The following is a 10,284-nucleotide window of genomic DNA, read 5'->3' as shown; positions in this document are numbered from 1 at the left end:
GAAGAAAGGTGTTTTTGGCTGGGAGACAATAATGTACGAAGGCCCAGAGGCTTGAGAGACAATGACAAGTCTAGGGACCTGCAGGTCGTTTAGAACTTAAGAGAACAAATTGAGCAGTGGGACAGGCAATATCTGTATTGGTGCAGAAGTTGATGGGGAGGTCAAATCACAACACACCTTGGAAGCCATGATAAGAAGACGTTTTTAAGAGCCAGGAAAAGAGAGAGAGTAATAGGTGAAGAATGACATTGACCAAAACCACTTTACATTTGATGCCTAGGGTATTATCCTCCCAGCAAAAGCCCTTTCTTTTAATCCTAAAAACTTTTCCACCATCACTCCAATCTCCACCGTCTTAATATGGCCATAATCAGAGAAACCAAGTTATAATTTGACTTTGCCTGTTGGCCACAGTTGATGGTATGGAGGACAATAACCTGATTCAAGCTGGACCAGCCGGGCTTCAGGAATGTCCTGAAATTGGGTGCAAAATGTTGTAAGCATGTTGGGGAGTGAGAGCACCCTTAATTTTCTCAGCTTATCAGAGGGCACATTAGTCAGGGCTCTCCAGAGAAACAGAACCAATGGATATATAATAAATATGTATCTTATAGACAGATACATAAGCAAGAATTTATTATGGGATTGGTTCACACAATTATGGAGTCCAAGAAGTTCCACGATCTGCCATCTGCAAACTGGAGAACCAGGCAAGCTGATGGTATAATTCAGTCTAATTTCAAAGGCCTGAGAACCTAGGAGCCCACTGGTGTAAGTCTTGGAGTCTGAAAACCTGTGGACCAAAAGCTCTGATGTCCAAAAGCAAAAGAAGATGGATCCCCCAGCTCCAAAAGAGAGAGTGAATTTGCCTTTCTTCTACCTGTTTGTTTTATTGGGCCCTCCACAGATGGGATAAGGCCTATCCACATTAATAAGGGTGATCTCCTTCACTCTATCCACTGATTCAAATGTAACCTCACAGACACACCCAGAAATAATGTTCTACTAGTTATCTGGATATTCCTTAAAGTGGTCAAGTTGACACATTAAACTACACCCTCATTTTCTGGGTCCACACTGGAAGGTGGGGGTTGGAGTGACTTTTCTAGCAACACAGAGCAGGACTCCCAGCCTCACATTTTTTTTACTTGCTCGAGCGAAATAGGAGAATGGTTTTGCCAAGCACAAATCACCTCCATGCCCTCTGCTCCAAATATTCTGCTAGTCTTTTCATTATTTCAGACCCACCCCCACCTCACTTATTTTTGTTTGACATGATACAGCATCTATCTCGTGAGAAATGGTGAAATGGACTGTAATAAATATAGTGCTTCAGTGAAGAAAGTTGACAGGAATATAAATACGGGGCATGATATATAAAGCCCACACATCCCAGTGGCCTCATTTATTAAAATCTTGCCATGCTAAATTTACATAGTCCTCCTCTCTATATGTGTGCTCATAAAGTACCGCTTATGCTGTTACTCACATCTATACCCTCCCTGGTTTCACTATTAGCTGACCTGTCTGTATGTACACCTCAAGGACTGGTTAATGCCCTCAGGGACTTGGCATTTAGGTGTGTTCAGGGTAGGATTTAGATTTGGATTACTGTGAAGATATGACACTCTGGTCAAGATTAAGATGGAATTTCTCAAGGAATTGTGTTCTCTGTGTCATTTCTATCATTAGCCACTCACTGAATTCATGCTGAGCCAGACCTCCAATGAGCAAAATTTGTTGATCTAATTCATATTTCTTGAACATGTACTATGTTTTAAGTATGAACAAGAAAGAGATGAATTATCTACAGCTTTTAAAGTACTCACAATAGAATGAGGGGCATACATGTATAAATATACAGTTTAGACACATTGTGATAAATGGTGTGATTGGAAAGGCAAATCACCATAATAGCTGAGGGTCCATGTGGGCCAGGCACTACATGTTTTTATACCTCTGTTTTGTATTTACGTAGAAATCTCCACTTTACAATTGGGGAAAATGTAGCTTACAAGATAAAGGAGATTTCCTGAGTCCAACAGTGAGGAAGCAGTGGTATTGGATTTGAATCCAGCACTGTTTGATCCTAAAGACTGCACTTTATTCTCTAGTTTCTGGTTCCTTTTTACCCTGACCTTTAAGATGGCTTTGGACTCCCCAGGCAGGCTCAGTACTGGATGGTAACTAATATACGTTGAGGTCCCCCTGCTTACCTGCTTGAACCTGTTACGTCTTGTCTCTATTCTCCCAACTCCCTAGATAGACACTTGAAGGACTTTCTTGCATTGTCCCTGGCCCCTGCTGGTGTAGATCTATTGGTTATTGCCTGCCCATCATCCATTTCCTTTTTACCTTGTAATAGAACCCTTGTATCATTTTTGCTCTCCATCCACATGCTCAGATGGAGCCAGGCCTATTCACATGACCCAGGCATAGGCAAGCCCATGATACTGACTGGTTCAGTGAAAGGCATGGGATCCATTCCAACTTAATCGAAACAAATTTGGGGCTGTGGCTGGAATTGGGAAAGAAGTGCTGTCTGTTTGCTGGGGTTGCTAAGGAGACAGAGTGTAAGCCTGAAGCTTCCCATGGTCTTTCCTGCATCTCTTTGGGGAGAATTCACTATAGAATGCAATCAACACAGGGAAAGTAGAGCCAAGAGATGGAGAGAAACAGGTACCCAATTCCCTTTCAGTTCATTTTCAGCCTTGGATATCACCACTCTTGACACTTGTTCCACCATGGACTATCAAGGTACATGAGTCAGTAAATGTCTTTTTTTCTTTTTTTTTTTTTTTTTTTTGCTTAAGCTAACTTCATTTAGGTTTCTATTGTTTCAATCAAAAGAGTCATAATTAACATATCCACCAGTCTTGTCTCTGAACTCCTATACTTGGGTAAAGTCTGCCATGTCACTTAGCTCCTAAAATCCCCACCAAATAGCCAGCTCTCCTTCTGGCCAGCAGAGCAAAGGAGAATTCAGTCAATCTCAGACTCAGAATCCTGTCAATTCAATCCGTCATCTTCTTCAGTAAAACTGGGAAGAAAAAGTTAAGAGAAGTCTCTTTTATGGCTCAAGGAAAAGACCACCTCACAACGTTGGGTATTTTTAAAGCTATTCTTCAATATGAGTTTCTAAAAGAAAGGTGTGTGTTGGAAAGCTAGGTATCTGGACTTGAAATAAACAAAATTTCCTCTCATTATATAGTGTCATCAGCATCCTGCAGGGGTCCTTGCAGTCTTCCAGGATAGAAATCAAGGGAGGTCACCAGACAGAGCAGCAAAGAGAAAGAGAAAGCTTTATTTTAGCTTGTGCACAAGGGGAGTCAGTACCGCAAAAGGGAAAGGGTGAGTTTTTCCCCGAGGGTAGTATATGGGTGAGTTTTATAGGGCCTTTCTGTAGGGAAGGTTTTGTCAGGGCATGCGTAGGAGGCTTTCTCTAGCACCTGCACAGTGGCTTTACATGCTTCTTCATACATCACATGTGACATTAGCATTTTACATCTCCACCCCTTCATGTGAGTTTTATCATTAAAATGAGGGTGGGGTAATTACAAGTTGAAGTTTAAGTCTAACCGCACATGCGGGCCCCAGGGAAGTCCATAGGCCCCGAAAGCAGGATCTTGTGGTTCATAGCTTGTTGGGTCTTTTTTTTTTTGAGATGGAGTCTCGCTCTGTCACCCAGGCTGGAGTGCAGTGGCACAATCTCATCTCACTGCAAGCTCCGTCTCCCGGGTTCCTGCCATTCTCTGCCTCAGACTCCCAAGTAGCTGGGACTACAGGTGCTCGCCACCACGCCCGGCTAATTTTTTTTTTTTTTTTTTTTTTTGTATTTTCAGTAGAGACGAGGTTTCACCATGTTAGCCAGGATGGTCTTGATCTCCTTTCTTGGGTCTTTTGTTGCTGATGAAAGTTAGGTAAGCTACAGCTTGAGTAAGGGGCTTTTGTTCTTTTTTGCTAAACCACATCAAAACAGGAAACCGGCAATCCTACCTGTCTCGATAGTATTAAGTTAAAAAAAAGTGAAATAGAACTTTAAAATATTGTGTTAATTACAAAAAAAGGAAGGAAATGAATGATACTGATCACACACCACCAAGTAAGTATATCAAAATCACATACATGGAGAAAACAGCACTGCATATTTTAGAAGTAAACATGCATGAGGGATATATGTCAAAAGCATTTGAGTGGATGCCTATGGGGAAGGGGTTTAGGAATAGGGACTGGGAGTGAATGGGGTAGAGATAAATAAAATGAGAAGGCATTGCGTAGACCAGTGGCAATGGTGTGCTGTGATGAGAAGCATGAGAGATTCAGCTCTCTGCATCCAAGGTTATAAACAAGAATGAAAGGAAGGAAAGAGGGGAGAAGGAAAAAAGCCTAGAATAAAACATTCCAGTATGTTAACAGTAGTTGTACTTTGATCAGGGATCATTTGGTTATCAAGAAGAGAAACTCACTGAAGGAAGCTTAAATTAAAAGAGGATTGGTTCTATGGACACAATTGTAGAGAGCACAAGCTGATCTCAAAGACCTATAATCTTTTGGGTGTTCTCTCACCTCACTCTTTTTCAGAACCACATGTTCTGTTAAATCTGCCTCTCATCCTAACTGCTTCCTCTTCCTCTCATTGCAGACCAGCTTCCTTGCTTACACATCCACTTACACAATATCCATCACGGAAACTCCACTGGCAACTCCACATTGGGACCCCTCTCAATGGGTCGCACTCCTTTGCAGTTCAGCAACCCTACCCTCCCCCACCTAACTGACTCAGTCTCTGTGACCCTAATTTAAATTGGAGAGAGACAGATGTAACTGGCCCACCATGAGTCAGCTATTTACCCTTGGTTTGAACAGCTCTGGTAAAAGTGAAAGGCAGTGAGGTGGATGAAAGGAGATGAAAATGGGTCTAGAAGCTAAGAAGATTGTGGAAGGTAAAGATTAGTATATCTTGTACGCACTGTCCCTCAGCACTGGGATTATGGATGATTACTTTCTTTATACGTTTTAGCATTATCCAATTTTCCTAAAATGACATGAGTTAGGGATAGAATGATTAGTGTTTAAAGGGACAGGCTCTGGATCCAGACAAAACTAAGTTCAAATTCTTGCTCTTCTACTTCCTAGTTGTGTGACTTGAGCAAATCCCATCACCTTTCCAAGCCTTATCTGAACTACAAGGTGTTAACTTTCTTATAAGCTATCGTAAGCACTCGGTGAGATATGTAAGCAGAGCACTGAGCACAGTGTCCCTCCCATGCACAGCAATCACTCATGAAATGTGATGACACATTATTATTTTACATAATTCTTATAATTAAACATTCTTTAAAAATTAAAAAAAAATCCTCACAGTCACATGTCAGTTATCATTATTGAGTTGGCACGACAGGACACTTGCTACTGCTGTTTTCCTACTCCATTCCTCCCTGGAACATAGAATTTATCTGTGCTGGAAATGGCTATTGGAAATTACCACTGTCTACCCACTGCCCTTCTAACACACATAATCAACAAGCTAAGACAGCTCCCTCTTCCTCACAGCCCTCATCTACTAGCTCTAATTGATCATTACTAGCCATGCTCAGAGGGTCCCGGGGCTCATATGTTAATTGACTGCACACTCATTTAATGGGGAACTCCCCAATTCCCCAAGCATGAGCAGACTCTGTGCTACCTCCTCCATCCTGGTGCATTCTGGGAGCCTGTAGAGGAGAGAGGGTCAGCAGGTGGTGCATCTGATCAATTAATTAGGAGCATGTTGAGAGGTTTGACTCCAAGCCTAGATAATTGCATAATTAAATCTCCACCCATCCTCCATCCCAATTCCCAGTCCAAATGGCTCTCCCCAGCCTGCCATCCCTGTTAGCTGGGGAAGACATGAGCCCTGTTCAGGTCTTTCCTGGGCAGAGACAGCCCCTACCTCTTCCTGTTCCTCGTTCTGGCTGAAACTGGCTGGGGAAATGTTCTTTGAGAGCACCTAAGAATGAAAGTGGACCAATTTCCTCAAAAGGTTGTGTGGGTGTTAAAGGAAATAATACAAAGTGAAATGAAGCTTTTCAAGGGGAAATACCTCAAATCCTTTGACCTGCCTTCAATTAGCAAGGCTTGTTGATGTGGTCCTCCGCAGATGCTCTCCCAGACAAGGCTAGTTCTTTCTGCCATATTCATTCTCCTCTTTCTTTACCGTAAGAGCCTTCTTTTTGTTCATGGCACTCACGTATGCAGCTGAAATAAAATGTCCTTCCCAGACTCCCTTGAGCAATGAGTGGCCACAAGGCACTTCTACAAAGTCAGATGTTGGTAATAGACTTCAGGGAGGGAGACCTTGCACAAATAATAGTACAGAAGAGGAGTTTGCCTCCTGCCCTCCACCTTTCTCCTTTTTCCTGTCTTGAAGACACATGCAATGCCTGGAGGTAAAGCAGCCTTTTTGCAACCATAAAAAAAAAAAAAAAAGCCAACCTCTAAAGATGAATGAGCTGAAAATGGAAGGAGGCTGCATTTATAATGTCATCATGAACAGCCATAACAGCTCATGCTGCCACTCTATATTTGACATGATGTAAGAAAATAAATAAATAAATAAGCAAATAAAGATTGGGTGAAACTGCTGTGATCAGCTTTTACCTGCAGAGGAACACACTCCTAACTGCCTAACACAGGTGCTAACATCAGTCACACACACACACACACACACACACACACACACACACACACATATATATGTGTATATATATATATATTTTTTTGGCTTGGAGTCTCGCTCTGTTGCCCAGGCTGGATGACACATAGATATGTCGATATGTAATCATAGTAATAATAACAACCACATATAATGAACATGTGCTATAGCATAGGGTTATTGGGAGGATTATGTGAGATGAATTATTTAGAACCCCAGTACAATGGCAGGCACAATGAAAACATTAACAAATCTTGGCTTTTATCAGAATTTGAGGTTGAGAGAGTTCATTCATAAGACTAATCAAAAAGAAATGAAAGAAAGGTCGAAAGGAGAAGCTAACACCAAGATTTGGGGAACTGCAAACAGAGGGATAGCATCCATGCTGGACTCAGAAAACTTCTCCTTTGGCAAAGATCCTGGACCTGCCTCTTACATGCTGTGTGACCTCAGGCAAGTTACTTAACCTCTGGGGACCTCAGTTTCCTTTTCTGCAAAACTGAGGTAATTGTGAGGATTAAGGAAGATATGCCCAATGTAAGGGCTTAGTGCCTGTGGTTAGCACTTGTGGTTAATTCTGCCCGGAGACAGGCAGGAATCTTAAGAAGAGCCTCTCTCAGAGCACTGAGACAGGTTGCATAAAGACAACACTCCAGTCTCTCAGCAAAGGAGTTTTGCAGCAGTCCCCATGAGAAGCAAGTGGAGGTACTCAGCGTATTCCTCACTTTGATAAAAATCTCTCAAAGAGGCAGTAAATTACCAAGTCCTTGTTTTAGCTAAATCAAACATACTGCAGATTCCATTGGCATTTAATACTGATATTATGGCCCCAGGAATAACAAGTGAAAGTAATTAAGTTTAATGATTCCAACGAACCCACTATGCTTGATTGCAGTGTATATGTCTAATTATCTTTCTTTTTTGTTGTTGTCATGTGTGTGGTATAAACAAGACCTACTTGTAAAAATAAAAAAGGCACTAATTTTAAGATGTATCAGGGAAAGTTGCATTTGCAGCACCTTTTTGAAGGGTTTGCTTGCTTTCTCAAAAAACTGGTAGGGAGAAAGTCGCTTGGCTTGTCAAAGTGGCAAAGGAGAGATGATGTAATGCTTGTGTCTCTAAATGGTGGGACAAAGCCAGTCTTCCCAATTGCAGAGGAGGAAAGGAAGGAGGCCCAAGCCTGTAGGTCCTCACCAAGGTAAAGGATCAAAAGAGGTTGGGTAAAGGTTAAAGGCAAAGCTTGGGCTGAAAATCCTGAGGCCTATTTCCCTCAGGGAAAGGGTATGTTCTGCTCACCTGGACAGACATCCCTGGGAAAGATTGTTTCACTGGCCTCAATTTCCCCCACACCTCCTTGCATCCATGTTCTTTGCCATGTGACTTTCAGTCCTTTTCACTAAAAGGACAGAATGGATTTCCCCACCTTTTGACTTCAGATTTGAACATGTGACTTCCAATCAGATTTGAACATGTGACTTCCTTTAGCTAGTGGAATTAGGTGGAAGCAGCATGGTACCAGCTACAAGCCTTGAATGTTTCCACTTACTATCTTGTGTTTCTGTACCACGCTGCTTTCACCTAATTCCATTAGCCAAAAAAGTCACACGTCCAAACCCAAAGTCAAGGGCTGGGTTTAAGAGGCCTTGAATGTTTCCATTTACCATCTTGTGTTTCTGCCATTGCTGTGTGCCCAAGCTTGAGCTAGCCTGCTGATCCCAGGCAGAGAATGACCCACACCTGGAGTGGTGCCCCTGCAACTAGCCTAGCCTGATCAGCCAATCCCCAGCCAAGCCACAGACGTGTGAGCTAAATGTATCCTTATTGTTGACTTATTTTTTAAATATCACTAGGATTTTTTTTATGAAGCATAAGGGCTCTGGTATAACCATGAAAACCTTGAAGTGTTTTCAGAATTTTGTGACAATAAGAAATTTTCTGGGGAAACGGTTTTCCAGTTTTCAGGGAATTCTTAAAGCTGCGTCTGACCTAAGGGAAATTAGAAAGTCCCTGTAACTGTTAACCACGCCTACCTGTACTCAGCCACAAGCTGAAGACTCCAAAGTCATCCTTAGCTCTTCTGTACTTCCTGCTGTCTCTTCCCAACTCCCATTTGGTTGTATCATGCTAGAAACTTGAAATCAGCCATGGGGGAAGTACTTATACCACCTAAATTGGAAAACACTACAAACCAAGGCTTCCCAATTTCCCATCCCCTCCCAGAGAGTCAGCTTACCAGCATTCATGCTTCCCACAATCAGCTGGGGTCAAGTCCTCTTACTCCTTTGATATCAGCAGCACCTCTTGCAAGTGGTCCCTATTCCACAACCTCACAAGGACATCCTCACCATCCTTGCACAGGGAGCAGCCTAGAGCTGCAGGGTGCATGTCAGAGTCAAATGATTTATGGCTGATTCCAAGCTCAGTTACTTAGCAGTTACATGATCCTAGCAAGTTCGTTAAACTCTGTAAGCATCCTTCTCCCCATCTGTGAAATGGAAATAAAAAATAGTATCTAACTCTTAGGGTCATTAGGAGGATTCAGTGAAATGACTCAGGCAAAGCATGTAGCACTGAGCCTGACACCTCCTAAGCACACGATAGGTGACAGCTCTCATGACTTGGTTGTGTCACATCATCTTTTGCCTCAATTATTTGCAACACCTTCCAACAGACCTTCCTCTTGTTGGTCTTGCCCCTTTCACTCTATCCTCTCCACAGCAGACAGAGAAAATGGGGAAAAATAATTCCAGAAGTTGCTCTCAGAGGCAGCGTGTAGCTGTGCTCTTTGTAAAATTCCACCATGGCGTACCATGGCCAGGACCAGAGAGTGCAGAGGGTTATGGTACTGCCCATCAACCTCATCTTCAGATACTTACAAAATAGATCATGGATTCAGGTGTGGCTCTATGAGCAAGTGAATATGTAGATAGAAGGCTGTATCATTGGTTTTGATAAGTATATGAATCTTGTATTAGATGACGCAGAAGAGATTCATTCTAAAACAAAGTCAAGAAAACAACTGGGTCGGATCATACTAAAAGGAGATAATATTCCTCTGCTACAAAGTGTCTCCAACTAGAAATGATCAACGAAGTGAGAAACTGTTGAGAAGGATACAGTTTGTTTTGAGATGTCCTTTGTCCAATATAAACATTTATTCATATTGTTTTGATTACCCTTATGTTATTACAAGAAGGGAATAAATGCTATGGGATTATTTGTATTAAAAAAATGAAAGTTGGGGGGGAAAAAAGCACAAATACACTTGTGTTACTCCCTTGCTCAGAACTCTCCAGTGATTCTCCTTTGCCTTCAGGAGACAGTCTCAATTTATAAATGGGGAAACTGGAGTTTGAAGAGGTTAAAACATTTGCCCAAAGCCACACAGGTAGTAAATGACATAGGATTTCAACCCAGACTTTCCATGTCCACATTCTACCTTTTTCACCACTAAGATATACCAAGGATAAAAGAATAGGTGATTACAAGGTATGGATGGGTGAACAGATGAAATTACAAAAGGGACAGAAACACAGGATAGAAGCATGAGTGGAAGTCTAGAAGGATGGCAGACTCTAGAAGGAAAGGAT

General features: G+C 42.1%; 1 pseudogene; it reads left to right on the top strand.

Moving 5' to 3' along the window:
- On the top strand, positions 9,438-9,925 carry SNRPEP3 (SNRPE pseudogene 3; annotated as a pseudogene).

The sequence above is a fragment of the Homo sapiens genome, chromosome 16, assembly GCF_000001405.40.
Source record: "Homo sapiens chromosome 16, GRCh38.p14 Primary Assembly".
NCBI classification, from domain to species: Eukaryota; Metazoa; Chordata; class Mammalia; order Primates; family Hominidae; genus Homo; species Homo sapiens.
Note: the sequence above shows the minus strand (reverse complement) of the source record. Positions and strands in the feature narration are given on the sequence as shown.